Source organism: Homo sapiens, chromosome 2 (genome assembly GCF_000001405.40).
Source record: "Homo sapiens chromosome 2, GRCh38.p14 Primary Assembly".
NCBI classification, from domain to species: domain Eukaryota; kingdom Metazoa; phylum Chordata; class Mammalia; order Primates; family Hominidae; genus Homo; species Homo sapiens.
The window spans coordinates 39144566-39161968 of record NC_000002.12 but is presented as its reverse complement, the minus strand read 5'-3'; the positions used below and the strand labels follow the sequence as shown (position 1 = coordinate 39161968).

General features: G+C 42.5%; 3 annotated features.

The window, feature by feature from the left end:
* Nucleotides 10926-11094: a silencer, noted in NCBI's record as "fragment chr2:39378016-39378184 (GRCh37/hg19 assembly coordinates)". NCBI's record gives its function as "represses an EF-1alpha promoter that drives an FKBP-Casp9 reporter gene in an ReSE screen in HepG2 liver carcinoma cells {active_cell/tissue: HepG2}" and the evidence as "EXISTENCE:reporter gene assay evidence [ECO:0000049][PMID:32094911]".
* Nucleotides 11473-11858: a transcriptional cis regulatory region, noted in NCBI's record as "candidate enhancer chr2.1554 targeted for multiplex CRISPR interference". NCBI's record gives its function as "positively regulates expression of the SOS1 gene with high confidence and the SRSF7 gene with lower confidence in K562 cells {active_cell/tissue: K562}" and the evidence as "EXISTENCE:mutant phenotype evidence [ECO:0000015][PMID:30612741]".
* Nucleotides 11820-12321: an enhancer, noted in NCBI's record as "H3K27ac hESC enhancer chr2:39376789-39377290 (GRCh37/hg19 assembly coordinates)". NCBI's record gives its function as "activates a minimal SCP1, AML or CMV promoter by ChIP-STARR-seq in primed H9 embryonic stem cells {active_cell/tissue: H9 hESC(primed)}" and the evidence as "EXISTENCE:reporter gene assay evidence [ECO:0000049][PMID:30033119]".

Sequence of the window (17403 nt, the reverse complement as noted above, 5' to 3'; positions counted from 1 at the left end):
TTGAGGTCAGGAGTTCGAGACCAGCCTGGTCAACATGGTGAAACCCCATCTCTATAAAAAATACAAAATTAGCCGGGTGTGGTGGCCAGTGTCTGTAATTTTAGTTACTCAGGAGGCTTGAGGTGGGAGAATCATTTGAGCCCAGGAGGCGGAGGGTGCAGTGAGCCATGATCATGCCACTGCACTCCAGCCTGGGCAACTGAGTGAGACTCTGTCTCAAAAAAAATTAATTAATTAAATAAATAAAATGACATAACAAACAGCTGTCATCCATCTATCGTCCTGCTCCTGTGTCCCCATCCACCCTCCTTTTCTCAGGTCTGTTGCAGATTGAATTGAGAGGTGAGCACAGAGAGAGGGCCTGGCTAGGGACCGCGCTCTACCCGCTTCACAGGGAAGAAACTAGTCCTGCATCTTTCCACCTTCCTGATCTACTCTGAGATCTCCATTCTCCTTCTTGTCTGCTGTGGAGAGCTACTAGCTCCACAGTGGCAAATGGATCCTGAGGGTGTAGTTGCTTTGCAAGAAAAAGCCCAGCTTTTATTTTTTAAGCAAGCCAATGATATATAAGAGGTAGAAGATGTTTTGTTATTTAACACTGGGCTTGGTTTTTGTTTTGTTGTTGCTGCTGTTCAGTCTTGCCTTTGTAAGCACTTTCAACTCCTTGTTGCCATATGATAGCATGCCATAAATAGATGAGCTGGACGCCACTCCGAAGAGGAAGAATGCTGTTCTTACCTAATAAGTGCACAACAGGCCCTTTGATCAATAACATTGACAAAGAAGAATGTGCATGGCGGAGAGAATAGCTATTAAATACAAGTGAAATTGAAACTTCAATTTCAAATTGCAAAATTCCTAAGGATTAAAGTAAATCCTTGGCCAGGGTCCCAAGAAGGCTCCATCTAGCAACACTGCCAGGAGATTTTCCAGCACTCTCTCAGTATGTAAAAGTCCCAGAACATTATTTACAGTATTTTGAATTTTATCTGAACTTGCTAACTATCACTTACTTTATCTTGGGCAAACTTAGTGCTTTTTGTTTTTTGTTTTTTTTCTAATTGTCAGAACTTCTAAACCCTTAGAACAATAATGACCAATGCAGTTTAATATTTTAGGGAATTTCACAGCATCAAAACAGGGAAGAAGCATGAAATAACTGGAGAAATCTCAAACAATGTAGTAAAAAGGAAAGAAATACTTTAAATCAATATTCTAAATATAAAGCAGCTATCATATATTGAAATACAAATCATTAATATATAATAGAGCTAAATTATGGCTTTTTCAACTCATTTTAATTTTACACATTTATGCAAGTATCATAGTTACATATATACTATTTTTACTTTTTAATTAATGAGTAAAAATAATACACAGCGTATACAAATGTTGTTTTGAAATAATATACATTGTGGAATGGCTAAATTGCGCTAATTAGCATATACATTACCTCACGTACTTATCTTTTTGTGTGTGGTAAGAACACATATAGTCTATTCTCATAGCAATTTTTATAAATGCAATACATTGTTATTAACTAGAGTCACCATGGTGTACACAATAGATCTCTTGAACTTATTCCTTCTAACTGAAATTCTGTATCCTTTGACCAACATTTCCCCAACATGTATGTACTATTACCTCTTTTCTGATTGCCTTTAAGTTCTTCGTACATTAACCAGTTCAAGAGAACTAAAGTGCATTAAGCCTTCATCAGATGCCAGGCATTGTACTGGATGCTTTATCTATTTTCTCTTCTTTACTTTCCCAGACAACATAGGAAGTAGGTTTTGTTATCCACATTTTACAAATGAGAAATCTCAGGTTCAGAGAGGTAGCCAGAAAGTGGCGGAGCCCCTTTAAAAATTTCAGAAAATTTCCACCAAATCTTTAACTTATTTTTGCATTTAAAGTTGGTAAGCACTGACTCCCTAAAGCCAAGTCCCTTGCTTGGGCCATTTTCAATTTCCCATCAACTTTTACATCTTGATAACTTGTGATTTCTCTAATGCCAACCTTAGTTAAAACAACTTTGTAAGAACACTGTGTCCTTAGCATGGCTACCTCCCAACTATAACAAAATGATCCTTTTTTTTTTTTTTTTTTTTTTTTTTTTTGAGACAGAGTCTCACTCTGTCGCCCAGGCTGGAGTGCAGTAGCATGATCTTGGCTCGCTGCAACCTTCAACCTTCGCCTCCCACATTCAAGCAAGTCTCTTGCCTCAGCCTCCCAAGTAGCTGGGATTACAGGTGTGTGCCCCCATGCCCAGCTAATTTTTGTATTTTTAGTAGAGACAGGGTTTCACCATGTTGGCCAGGCTGGTTTGGAACTCCTGACCTCAAGTGATGTACCACCTCAGCCTCCCAAAGTGCTGGGATTCAGGCACGAGCCACTGTACCCAGCCCAAAATGATCTCTTTCTGTGGACATCTCATCATCCTTGTAAATAAAGTTATCTGCATATTCTTCTGTATATGCAAGGCTTGACTCCAACCAAAGTGACAGCGTTAAAATTATCATGAAATGTGAACAGTCATATGAATGCTACATAAAAAGATAGAATTTAAATCAGGGAGTCTTTTGTGGGATCACACCAAAGTTCTGATTTTACAGATAAGGAAACCAAGGCCTTGAAAAAATTAAAGGACCAAAAGAAATGTTAAACATAGATTAAATAGGCAGTCAAAACCATATTTGTTTAATTATTTATGTCTCTTTATTACCTTATTTAACTGGGTTTGAAGCCACTTTTATGTATAATAATTATAAAATAAAATGGAAAAACAATTTCAAAAAGCAAGAACGATGAAATTGTTAAAAAATAAATAGTGATAGTTGCACAATCTGTGACTAAAAAAACACTGAATTGCATATTTGGAAATGGTGAATTTTATGGCATATCAATTAAATTTCAATGAAACTGTATTTAAAGCACCACTATATACATTTTTTTAAAAAAATAGAATAGATGATAAAACCAGGGAATGATGCTGGGCACGGTGGCTCATGCCTGTAATCCCAGCACTTTGGGAGGCTGAGGAGGGCAGGTCACCTGAGGTCAGGAGTTCGAGACCAGCCTGGCCAACGTGGTAAAACTCCGTCCCACTAAAAATAGAAAAATTAGCCGAGTGCGGTGGCTCACACCTGTAATCCCAGCACTTTGGGAGGCCAAGGCGGGCGGATCACAAGGTCAGGAGTTTGAGACCAGCCTGGCCAACGTGACGAAACCCCATCTGTACAGAAAATACAAAAAGTAGCTAGGCCTGGTGGTACATGCCTGTAATCCCAAGAACTCAGGAGGATGAGTCAGGAGAATTGCTTGAACCCAGGAGGCGGATGTTGCATTGAACTGAGATCACACCACTGCACTCTAGCCTGGGTGACAGAGCAAGACTGCATCTCAAAAACAAAACAAAACAAAACAAAACAAAACCAGGGAATGATGACGTGTCTCTTTTCAAGTCTATCTTAGAATATCACCAGTGAAACAGCCCCCACTATATTATTAGCTTAATGAATCATGAACATTGACCTGTTGCCTCCATTTCTCTGTGGTAGAGTATTAGGCCAGATTTTAAAGCTCCTATTGGGGTTGAGAAATTATTTCCAAGTAAGACTCTGGAATGTATTTCCAAAGAGAATACATTTTTCTCATGAGAAAATCTTTGAGTAAATTAAAAATCATAAACTAAAGAGTCTTGTTGATTTCAACTAGGAAACAGAAAGTTGAATCTGTTCTTTATGTACGCAAGCATGCATTTCAAGCAAAATGCTTTAAGATGAGTATACACAAACCGATCTAGGAATTCCCCTTCTTCAAATTTATCATAGCATGTAATGAACTCAGAAAAAGGTTTGAGAACAAAGATCTTCATCACAGCATTATCATGATTTATAATAATGAAAACGTGGAAATAAACCTAAAAGTCCAAAAACAGGATAATTTTAGGGCCTAGTGAAATATAGCAAAGGCCTTTTTAAAATGGGGTTTTAAAAATCTGTATTACTTTTCAGATTATAGAGATAATAGCAATATACAAAAATTGAAAAAAAAAATTAAACCTCCAAATATTTCCCCACAATCTGCACCTCCCTCCCCACCCACCCCCATGTTTTTTTAAGACAGAGTCTTGCTCTGTCGCTCAGGCTGGACACTGCAACCTCCACCTCCCAGGTTAAAGCGATTCTCCTGCCTCAGCCACCCAAGTAGCTGGGCTTACAGGCGACCATCACTATTCCCAGCTAATTTTTGTATTTTTAGGAGAGACAGGGTTTTGCCACAATGGCCAGGCTGGTCTGGAACTCCTGGCCTCAAGTGATCGGCCTACCTCAGCCTCCCAAAGTGCTGGGATTACAGGCGTTGAGCCACTGCGCCTGGCCACAATCCCTCTTTCTTAAGAGACAAGTAAAATTAAGTGCTTGGTGAATATTTTATATGATCATCCTATAATACTGCTTTGCAGTCTGCTTTTATATTTCCCAAATTTTCTATGATTGGCATGTTAAAAATAGTACTGGCTTTTCTACATCCAAAAATAATATAGTTTTTTTTTTGGTAGGCAAACTGGAAAATATAGATAACCCCAGATAAAAAATAGGAAGTCACTCATGATCTCCCTATCCTGAGATAATAACTATTGCCATTTAGATAATACTGTGTGTTTTCTATTTTACAGAAATAAAATTATACTGGCCATAATTTTTATAACTGCCCTTTGTCACTTAAATGTATTGTGAACAGTTTTTAAATATTATTAAATGCTCTTCTACAAAATGATTATTTGGCCACACAGTACTATAATTCATATATGGGCATTCAGTTGTTACCAGTGTTTGCTTTCATAATTGATGCATGAATATTTGCATGGATAAGTCTTTGTGCATGTATACTGTATAGCATCTGGAGGCCAGGCGCCGTGGCTCATGCCTGTAATCCCAGCACTTTGTGGGGCTGAGGTGGGTGGATCACTTGAGATCAGGAGTTTTAGACTAGCCTGGCCAACATGACAAAACCCCGTGTACTAAAAATACAAAAATTAGCCCGGCATGGTGGCTGGTGCTAATCCCAGCCACTTGGGAGGCTGAGGCAGGGGAATCGCTCGAACCTGGGAGGCAGAGGTTACAGTGTCCAGCCTGAGCAACAGAGCAAGACTCTGTCTTAAAAAAAAAAAAAAAAAAAAAAGCCGGGCGTGGTGGCTCACATCTGTAATCCTAGCACTTTGGGAGGCCTAGGAGGGTGGATCACGAAGTCAGGAGATCGAGACCATCCTGGCTAACACGGTGAAACCCCGTCTCTACTAAAAATACAAAAAATTAGCCGGCGTGGTGGCAGGCACCTGTAGTCCCAGCTACTGAGGAGGCTGAAGCAGGAGAATGGCGTGAACCCGAGAGGCAGAGCTTGCAGTGAGCCAAGATCGCGCCACTGCACTCCACCTGGGGGACAGAGCGAGACTCTGTCTCAAAAAAAATTAAAAATAAATAAATAAATAAATAAATAAGGTTGGGGGTAGGTGTGGATTGTGGAGGAGGTGGAGGTTGCAGTAAGCCAAGATTGCACCACTGCACTCCAGCCTGGGCAGACAGAGCAAGACTCCATCTCAAAAAGAAAAAAAAAAAAAATTCATCTGAATAAATAGCTAGAAATGGAATTGCTGAGTCAGGTAGTCTGCAACATTTTAATGTTTATGATACTTATTGCCAAGATATTTCAGAAAAAGATTTAGCAAGTTTTCTTCCCAGCAGTGGTATGAGATAGTGGTCATTTTCCACACTTTCAGCAGTGCCAGATGTTACTAATCTGGGGACTAACTTTCATTATTTTTTTCTTATTTAAAAAATGATAAAGGTTTGTTATAAAAACTTAGAATGTACAAACAAATAAAAGAAAAGAAAATTCATTTATGATACCATCAATCACTGATTTTCTGTTACTGTATATGTACTTATATGCACATGTACATTTATATTTCTTAATTTACTAAAATTAAATCATGGGAGTAATAAATAACACCTAATAGTGCCTGTAATCCCAGCACTTTAGGAGGCTGAGGCAGATAGATCACTTGAGGCCGGGAGTTTGACACCAGCCTGGGCAACACAGTGAAACCCTATCTCTACTAAAAATACAAAAGTGAGCTGGGCATTGTGGCACACACCTGTAATCCCAGCTACTCAGGAGGCTGAGACACAAGAATCGCTTGAACTTAGGAGGCGGAGGTTGCAGCGAGCCAAGGTCATACCACTGCACTCCAGTCTGGGTGACAGAGCAAGAATCTGTTTCAAAAAAAAAAAAAAAAAAAAAAAAAACCCCACAAAAACAAAATTAAAAAAACTACCTAATAGTACATATTAATATTACTTAATATTACTTTGTGCAAGATCCTATGCTATTGGTTTAAAGTGAGTTAGCTCCTTGAATCTTTATACCCCCATATAATAATAGTATTGTTAGTATTCGTGTTCCCATTTTTTTATAAAAAGGAAAACTGAGTAGAAAAATTAAGAAACTGATCCTAGGTAACACAGCTGATATGTGGCAGAGCTGAAATTAATCTATATTCAGAGCCCCTCTTCTTATGTCCAATAGCAGCCTCTAGAGGAGTCTATTCCTTCTCACCTGGGATGGTCAATTTGCTAAAGGCATAAGTCATAACCTGACTCCTTTTACTTAGGAGGATTTATTACTTTTAATTAAAAGGAAGCCTATATATAAAAATTATTGAATAAATAAATAAACTGGGAGGTGGGGAGCAATCCTTCTTACAGAAGAATTCCAAGTACTGTTATGTAGATACTCCTCCCTCCAAGGGGTGGAGCTTAGCTCACCTTCCCCTTGAGAATGGGTTGGACTTAGTGACTGTCTCCCCAAGAACAGAGTATGGAAAGGGGAAAAAAACTGAGACTTTGCAAAGGAGAAACCTGGCAGAGCTCACTGTAATCATGTGACCTGGTGAACATCACCAGTATAAATCCTGTTGACGTCATGTACCCCCGATCTGGGGTAATGAGGAGGGCACCGTACCTCTGGTATTCTTCCCACAATTCATAACCCCAGTATAATTATGAGACATTAACATGAAACAAACTCAAGCTGAGGGACAGTCTACAAAATACCTGACCAGTACTCCTCACAACTATTAACCAAGAAACTGTCACAGAGCAGAGGAGGCTGAGGAGACACAATGATGAAATGCAATGTGGGATCCTGGATTGAATACTAGAACATGAAAAGAACATTTGCGGAAAAACTGGTGAAATTCAAATAAAGTCGGGAGTTTAATGGACCACTGTTGGTTTCTGTACCATAGTTTCATGTGATATTAACATTAGGCAAAGCCAGATGAGGGATGTAAAGGAATTATCAATGTTATCTTTTCACCTTTTCTGTAAATCTAGAATTATTGAAAAATAAAAGGTGTATTTAAAAAAGGATGCTAGGCCAAGTGTGGTGGCTCACATCTGTAATTCCAGAATTTTGAAAGGCTGAGGCAGGAGGATCGTTTGAGCCCAAAGAGTTCAAGACCAGACTAGGCAACATAGAAAGACCCCACCACTATTTTATTAAAACAAAAAGAAAATAAAAACACACAAAAATAGGATGCTTGTTTCGATATGAACACCACTTGTGGGTAGCAGAGATGAGGTTCCAGCTATGGCAGGCTTTTCAGACCATCAGAACCTGAACCAGACCCCTCTCTTCTTTTTTGTTTTTTTGTTTGTTTGTTTTTTTGTTTTGATGGAGTTTCATTCTGTCACCCAGGCTGGACAGCAATGGCATGATCTCAGCTCACTGCAACCTCCGCCTTCCAGGTTCAAGCGATTCTCCTGCCTCAGCCTCCCAAGTATTTGGGATTACAGGTACCTACCACCATGCCAGGCTAATTTTTATATTTTTAATAGAGATGGGGTTTCACCATGTTGGCCAGGCTGTTCTCAAACTCCTGACCTCAGGTGGTCCACCTGCCTTGGCCTCCCAAACTGCTGGGATTATCGGCGTGAGCCACCATGCTCAGCCCCTCTCTTGTCATTGTTTCCTGGTGAGGGGGCACATCCAGCCAGAGTGAGATCAATAGGGAAAAGTCAGGTGGGGCGGGGCCGACTGATCTCTAGGGCCTGATCCCAGGGACTACTACTAGTTTTTCTGCAAGAGTTGGTTTTATAGTTTCTGCAGAACTGACAGACCTCTGATATTGATTAGTCCATGCATGCCTCTGATATATTTCTAACTCTAAATATTAGCAAGCAAAGGAGAAGGCGGTACAGCCTATTCCTTGGTTCACCTCAAGTATGGAAAAGAAAAGTATGTCAGGATCACCAAGTACTCAGAGAACAATAAAACCCTGTGTGTTATATTTTGCTGGATTGTCTCCCCAATATTTCCTTAGATCATGAACTGTTTCCCTGGCTACAAAGACCAACTCACTAGGACAAAGAGCACAGAGGATGTATCATTCCAGGAATATGTAATGGCAAATGCCAAGCTTTTGAATGAATATGTATATATGTGTCGTAACCATTGGAAAGAGACTTATTGTAGACTTATAAACTAATATAGCTCTCAACCACTTTGTAATCTGCTGCTTTACTTTTTTTCACTTAGTAAATTATGAACATCTGTCCATGTTATTAAATGTTCTTCTACAAATCTTCCACAGATATATTGATCAAAATGACTAGATAAATTAAGAGGCACACATCAAGTTCTGTGGTTGTTTAAAAGAATGAGATAGATCTCCATTTACTCATATTGAAGAGTCTCCAAAAATTAAGTGTAAAGAGCCAAGGGGTTAGGCACAGTGGTTCATGCCTATAATTCTGCACTTTGGGAGGCCGAGGCCAGAGGATTATTTGAGCCCAGGAGTTCAAGACCAGCCTGGGCAACATAGTGAGTCCCTGTCTCTACAAAAAATGAAAAAATTATCCAGGTGTGGTGGTGCACACCTGTAGTCCCAGCTACTCAGGAGGCTGAGGTGGGAGGATCACTTGAACCCAGGAAGTCAAGTCTGCAGTGAGCTGTGATCATGCCACTGCACTCCAGCCTGGGTGACAAAGTGAGACCCTGTCTCAAAAAAAAAAAAAAACACAAAAAGCCAAGATCAGAGTAGTAGGTATAATATGCCACCATATATATAAAAGAAAATATAGATATTCACTTTAACCTGGGAGGCAGAAGTTGCAGTGAGCCCAGGTCACGCTGCTGCACTCCAGCTTGGGTGATAGAATGAGACTCCACCTCAAAAAAAAAAAAAAAAAAAAAAAAAAAAAGATAGATACGACATAGCAGGAGAGACTGTCTCTGAATGGATTAGATTGAAAGGGAAACATTTTAGTTGCCTTCAAGGAGGAAACTCAGTGGCTGAAGGATAAGGATGGAAAAAAAGTTTATTTTTTTAATGGAATAGCCTTTTGTATCTTAAAATTTTGTATGATATTCATCAATTATTTATTTTAAAGGAATAATTTTTTTAAGTTACAATGTCATAGTTAATGCCAGCCTAGTATTTGCATTAGGCTCTTTCTTTCCTTCCTTCTTTCTTTCTCTCTCTTTCTTTCTTTTCTTTCTCTTTCTTTCTTTTTTTTTTTAGAGATGGGGTCTTGCTATGATTCCCAGGCTGGTCTTGAACTCCTGGGCTCAAGCAATCCTCCCCACTTGGCCTCCCAAAGTGCTGGGATTACAGGTGTGAGCCACCATGCCTGGCCTGCATTAGGCTCTTTCTGATTATCACTATTATATATAAGGCTGTATGCCACCTCTTAGTAGCTAAATCTTTGCCCACATTAATGCCAATTTCCTTCAAATAACTTACTAAAAATAAAATTGCTGAGTCAAAAGGTGGGAACATTTTTAGAATTTTTGGTATGTTTTGCTAAATTCTCCAGAAAAAAATGAACTCACACCCCCACCATCATATTTCGCTGTACACTTCACTGATGGTAAAGAGGTTTGCTTTTTGTTTTTTGTGTTTTTTTTCCTTCTCATTTTGGTAGGATAAAAATATAATGGAATTTTTTGTTTGTCTGTTTCAGGAGGAGAACATGGATGGTAAGCTTTTCAGGTCCTTGCATATATATCTTCATAGTTTTGTCCATTACAGATTATTTTTATTTTTATTATTTTAGAGTCAGGGTCTGTCTACGTTGCCCAGGCAAGTCACAAACTCCTGGGCTTATGCAATTGTCCCACCTCAGCCTCCACCTGGCTAGGACAACAGGTGTGTGCCAGTACTCCCAGCCCATTGTAGATTTTAAAGTTTGGTATAATTTTGTTTCACAACTTTGAAGACAGACTGTCCATTACCTTCTAATACCCAGCACTGCTGATGTAGAGTATGGCATTGTCTGACTTGGGTCTCTTTGTAAGTTACCAGGTTTCTTTCTTCCCTTCTGGTAGTTTTTATTTTATTTTATTTTATTTTATTTTTGAGTCAGAGTCTTGCTGTGTTGGCCAGGCTGGAATGCAGTGGTGTGATCTCGGCTCACTGCAACCTCCACCTCCGGGGCTTAAGCGATTCTCCTGCCTCAGGCCCCCAAGCAGATGGGACTACAGGCACCAGCCACCATGCCTGGCTAATTTTGTGTGTGTTTTTAGTAGAGACGGGTTTCACCATCTTGGCCAGGCTAATCCCAAACCCCTGACCTCAAATGGTCTACCCGCCTCAGCCTCCCAAAGTGCTGGAATTACAGGTGTGAGCCACCACACCCAGCCTGGAAGCTTTTAGAGTTTGGACTTCATAGTTGGCTTTTGCTAGATTACGCTGCTTCACAACCTCAAATCTTGTAGTTTACAACGACAAATATTTACTCCTGCTCATGTTACAGGTCAGAGGCTGTGTTTGGCTGCTGCAGCTCTGCTCCAGGCTGCATTGAGAATCGATTTCGAGTGTCTTCTCATTCAGGGACCCAGGCCAAAGGAGCAGCTCATATGGGAAATATGCCCTTCTCATGGCAGAGGGCACAGGAAACTTGAAATACCCTTAAAATGTTCTGTTCAGGAGTGGTGTGTGTCACATCTGGTCACAGTTCATTTTCCAAGGCAAATTAATGGGCCAAGTTCAAGTCTAGGTCACCTGCCTGGAAGGAGCAAGTGAACGGGTCTTCTCCTTGGAGTTCTGAATTTTCCCTAGGAAGTATCCAGCCATGAATTCAGCTTCTTTATTTTCATAATAACTCTATCCAAATAAAGCATTTTGTGAGTAGTAGTCTTTACTAAAAAAAAAAAAAAAAAAAAAAAAAGGAAGAAAATATGAAAGAAGAGGCAGGGTATTTATAGCAGTGGCACAAAAAAACTTCAAATTTCAGTTTTGACATTCATGAGTATAAAAGACCTTTGATTCCCTGACCAAAGGGGGTCCTTCGGCTCCCGCTTCAACCCATGTCATAACCACACGTCTTGCTGTCTTCTCTCTCCTCTTCATCCTCCTCTCTCTCCTCTCCACCTCCTCACTCTCCAGTTCTTGGAATTTGGGGATTGATATTCTGGAACTTGAGCAGGAAGTGGGTGACCTGACAGAAGAAGATTAAACATGGCTGTTTCAGTTATCTTTGGCTGCTTAACAAACCACCCCAAAATGCAGTGCCTGAAAGCAACAGCCATTTTATTATCTCTCACAATTCTGTGGGTTAGCTGGAGCTCAGCGGGATGATTATTTCTGTTGGTCTCCTTTGCGGCCTCACGTGCTGCTGCCGTCAGATAATGGTGGGGCTGAAACATCAAGATGGCTTCCCTCATGTGTCTGGTAGGAGCTTAGTGGTGGGGCTGAAACATCAAGATGGCTTCCCTCATGTGTCTGGTAGGAGCCTGGGCTCAGCTGGGGCGCTGAGGCACCCAGGCCTCTCTCTCTACCCCCGATAATCTCAGGGCTCTTCTCTCTCCTGTGGTCTCTCCATGTAGTCCCTCTAGCAGGGTAGCAGGACTTGTTACATGTTTGCTCAGAGCACCAAAACGTGCAAATGCAGGAGCTACCAGGCCTTAAAGCCTAGGCCCGGCCAGGTGCGGTGACTCACGCCTGTAATCCCAGCACTTTGGGAGGCTGAGGCAGGCTGATGACGAGGGCAGGAACTCGAGACCAGCCTGGCCAACATGGTGGAAACCCGTCTCTACTAAAGATACAAAAAATTAGCCAGGCATGGTGGTGTGGCGCCTGTAATCCCAGCTACTCCAGAGGCTGAGGCAGAAGAATTGCTTGAACCTGGGAGGTGGAGGTTGCAGTGAGCTGAGATTGCGCCATTGCACTCCAGCCTGGGTGACAGGGTGAGACCCTGTCTCAAAAAAAAAAAGCCTAGGCCCAGGGTCAGCAGAGTATCACTTCTGTAATTTCCTACTAGGTCAAGTGAGTACCAAGGACAGCGTGGCAGGTGACCATACAGACGCCTGAATAACAGGAGGCATGCTGCATTGAGGCCTACCTTTGGAAAAAGATACCACGATGCTTTAACAACCGTGGTTAATAGTGTTCATGCCTTTGTTAATTGTACTCATGAAGTAGTAATAAAGGTTAATATTCACCATTGGCATTATCAAATATTAAAGTACTGGCCAGGCGTGGTGGCTCATGCCTGTATTGCCAGCAATTTGGGAGGCTGAGGCAGGTGGATCACTTGAGGTTAGGAGTTCGAGACCAGCCTGGCCAACATGGTGAAACCCCGTCTCCATTAAAAATACAAAAAAATTACCGAGATGTGGCCAGGCACGGTGGCTCACCCCTGTAATCCCAGCACTTTGGGAGGCCGAGGCAATTGGATCACGAAGTCAGGCATTCAAGACCAGCCTGGCCAACATAGTGAAACCCTGTCTCTACTAAAATTACAAAAAATTAGCTGGGCATGGTGGCGGGCACCTGTAATCCCAGATACTTGGGAGGCTGAGGCAGGAGAATCGCTTGAACCTGGAGGCGGAGGTTGCAGTGAGCCGAGATCGCGCCACTGCTCTCCAGCCTGAGAGACAGTGCGAGACTCCATCTCAAAAAAAAAAAAAAAAAATTACCCAGGTGTGGTGGTGTGGTGGCGGGCGCCTGTAGTCCCAGCTACTCGGGAGGCTGAGACACGAGAATCACTTGAACCTGGGAGGCAGAGGTTGCAGTGATCTGAGATCTCGCCATTGCACTCCAGCTTGGGCAACAGAGCAAGAGTACATCTCAAAATAAATAAATAAATAAATAAAAATTAAAGTACTGATTTTAAACTAAATCCTTTTTTTTTTTTTTTTGAGACGGAGTCTCGCTCTGTCGCCCAGGCTGGAGGGCAGTGGTGCAATCTCAGCTCACTGCAACCTCCGCTTCCCGAGTTCACGCCATTCTCCTGCCTCAGCCTCCTGAGTAGCTGGGACTACAGGCGCCTGCCACAGTGCCCAGCTAATGTTTTGTATTTTTAGTAGAGACGGGGTTTTACCGTGTTAGCCAGGATGATCTCGATTTCCTGACCTCGTGATCCGCCCGCCTTGGCCTCCCAGAGTGCTAGGATTACAGGCGTGAACCACCGCGCCTGGCCGAGGATTTTGATTTTTGATACCTCTCATTCCTACCTTCCTTCCCTTCCAAATAGATACAGCATTATAGGCTGGGCGTGGTGGCTCACACCGGTAATCCCAGCACTTTGGGAGGCCCACTTGAGGTCAGAAGTTTGACACAAGCTTGGCCAACATGATGAAATCCCATCTCTACTAAAAATACAAAAATTAGCCAGGTGTGGTGGTGTGCACCTGTGATCCCAGCTACTCGGGAGACTGAGGCAGGAGAATCACTTGAACCTGAGAGGCAGAGGTTGCAGTGAGCCGATATCATGCCATTGCACTCCAGCCTGGGTGACAAGAGTGAAGACTCCATCTCAAAACAAAAAGAAAAGATATAGCATTAATAGTATTATTTAGTTTATCTGTTGAATAACTTTATACCTTTAAATAATACACTTACGCTTTTTTTAAACCCATCAACAGTGTTTAGTTCATAAACTGGGAGATATTATCACACCTAGCTGTCCCATAATGATGTGTGGCCGGGCACCTTCTCCTTCTAGGATCAGCTTATCCTCAGCAGGGCTGACCCACCCTCCTTTTGGGAGAGACTCTGTGGCTATGAAAGGGAGGCTCACTATTGTTCCGGATGGGGAAGTTGAACTCTGACTGCGAAACAGTAGCAAACCTAATTCTGATTATGGCAAGCTACATTCCCTAATATGAGGTTTATAGTAGTAAAAATAAAAAAAAAAAATTATGTCATATCTCAGACACCTGGGTTCAGTTCATAATTGATTCAGAAACCACAGTCATGAAAGGGCATAACTGATTCTCACCTCTCAACCCCAATGCCCAGAATCTCTACTGAATTTAGAATCCTCTTTAAAACTTTATTGCTGTGGGTTTGTTTGTTTGTTTGTTTGTTTGTTTGTTTTTGAGACAGGATCTCGTTCTGTCACCCAGGGTGGAGTGCAGTGGAATGATCATGGCTCACTGCAACCTTGAACTCCTAGCTGTAAGCAATCCTCTCGCCTCAGCCTCCCGAGTAGCTAGGACTACAGGAGCGTGCCACCACACCCAGCTAATTAAATTTTTTTTTTTTTTTTTTTTTTGTAGAGACAGGTTTTCACTATGTTGCCTATGCTGATCTTGAACTCCTGGCCTCAGTCTCCCAAAATGCTGGGATTATAGGCATGAGCCATGGTGCCCAGTGGGAATCTGCTTTCAGAAGGTCAGGAATGATAGGAGATCAGTCACAGATCCATGGGAGGGACTGGAAAGGAATTAAGCCTGGCTCTTTACAGCTTCAGGAGCCTCTGCAGTGTGTTCTATTCCATCTCCTCTACAAACAGCTCATAGTGCCTGCGGCATGGGTCCCCTTTACTATCTATGGAGAGTTTGCCTTGGGAATACTCACCAGGGTCCCGGTCTCCTCCCTCAGGAAGATGTTCAATTGCTGGCACTGGGCGTATGTCCCATGTAGGATGACAGTCACCTCACTCTGTGGGGACCTGACTTGCTTATGTTGACCAACATGCTACAACCAATCAGGTGGAGTCAGTGGGCTGGCAGTGGGACTGGGGGAAAGCAGGACAGCAACTCCATGTAAAAGGAGGAGAAACCTCAGCTTTCTTCTTTGTTTTATTTGTTAGAGATGGGATCTTGCTATGTTGTCCAGGCTGGTCTTGAACTCCTGGGCTCAAGCAATCCTCCCACCCTGGCTTCCCAAAGTCCTGGGATTACAGGCATGAGCCACCACTCCCACCTGAACCTTTCTTGAAGATGATTGAGTTTAAATAGTGAAATAGTCTCTGAAAGAAAATTTTCCCATCATGGCATTTTATGGGAAGAACTGCACATTTCACTTAAAAAGTCTGTTTTGGCTAAAATAAGTATATTTCCAGGGTCCTTTTTATACTCTTGAGAATCCAATAATAGCCTTAGACCTTTTAAAAGTGTGGGGAAAGCACAGGACTGGGGTGGTATCCAGATACTCAAAGATGACCCTAATTATTCTCATCTCCTAGTGCTCATGTCTTCGTGTCATCTCCTCCCACATTGAATGGGGATGACTTGTTTAACTAATAGGATATGGAAGAAATGATGGATGTCACTTCTGAGGCAAGGTCCTACAAGAGATGGAGGCCTTTGCCTTGCTCTCTTGGATCATTTGCTCTAGGGGAAGCTAGCTGCCATGTCATGAGGACACTTAAGTAGCCTAATAGGAAGGTCCTTGAGGCAAGGAACAGAGGCTCCTGCCAACTGAACACCAACTTGCCAGCCATGGGAATGAGCCATCTTGTAACGGGATCTTCCAGCCCCAGTCAAGCCTACTGGTGACCACAGCCTCAGTTGACATCTTGGCTGCAACCTCATAAGGGATCCTGCCCAGCTAAGCTGCTCTGCATTCCTAACCCGTAGAAACTGAAATAGTATATGTCTATTGTTTCAAGCTGCCGAGTTTTGGGTGATTTCTTATGCAGGACCACTAATATACCATGGCATTACTTCTTGGTAGGATTGTTTAGCATCTGACAGATGTTATAAGGCTTGGCTTCTGGCAGAGAACTCTTAGCAGATTATGTAAATGGGTCCAATGTTAGCAGAGAGCAGAAAAACAGCCCTGGGGGTTGTCTCAGGAGGTGATTTCTCCATCTAGAAAGGAAAGTGATATCATTACCCATTTCTGATAGTATTACCCTTTGATTTTATTTAGAATATATTAAAATATTAAATATTTTTATCCATTTGGAATTTTAGTGCAGAGTGCTTGCAAGGAATGGTTCGAATGACAGATTTTTGCGGCCGGGCACGGTGGCTCACGTCTGTAATCCCAGCACTTTCGGAGGCCGAGGTGAGTGGATCGCCTGAGGTCAGGAGTTCGAGACCAGCCTGGCCAACATAGTGAAACCCCGTCTCTACCAAAAATACAAAAAATTAGCCAGGCATGGTGGCAGGCGCCTGTAGTCCCAGCTACTTAGGAGGCTGAGGCAGGAGAATGGCGTGAACCCAGGAGGCGGAGCTTGAAGTGAGCTGAGATCTCTCCACTGCCCTCCAGCCTGGGCAACAGAGCAAGACTCTGTCTCAAAAAAAAAAAAAAAAAAAAATATGACTTGGTATTGATTTTATAGGGAGAAATTAAAGAGCTTTCATACAGCTGTGATGGAAGAGCCAAGGAAAAGAGTGATCAAGCTAAAGTTATTATATCGGAGTAAAAAAAAACATCTGGCTGGGCATGGTGGCTCACACCTGTAATCCTAGCACTTTGGGAGGCTGAGGTGGGCGGATCACTTGAGGCCAGGAGTTCGAGATCCCAGGCGTGGTGGCACGTGCCTGTAATCCCAGCTACTCAGGAGGCTGAGGCAGGAGAATGGCGTGAACCCGGGAGGCGGAGCTTGAAGTAAGCCGAGATCGCGCCACTGCACTCCAGCCTGGGCAAAAAGAGCGAAATTCCATCTTAAAAATAAATAAATAGGCCAGGCGAGGTGCCTCACGCCTGTCATCCCGGCACTTTGGGAGTCCGAAACGGGCGGATCATGAGATCAGGAGATCGAGACCATCCTGGCTAACACGGCGAAACCCCGTCTCTACTAAAAATACAAAAACAAAATTAGCCGGGCGTGGTGGCGGGCGCCTGTGGTCCCAGCTACTCAGGAGGCTGAGGCGGGAGAATGGCGTGAACCCGGGAGGCGGAGCTTGCAGTGAGCCGAGATCGCGCCACTGCACTCCAGCCTAAGCGACAGAGCGAGACTCCCTCTTGAAAAAAAAATAATAAAATAAAATAATAAATGGATAATCACACAGTAATTCAAATCCCTCTTGCAGGGGGATAAGAGAAATGTCAGGGAAAGCTTGAGGGCTACATAACAAATACAAGTGTGGTAAGTTGCTCAACATCATTAGTCATTAGGGAAATGAAAATCAAAAGCACAATGAAATGCCTCTTCACAC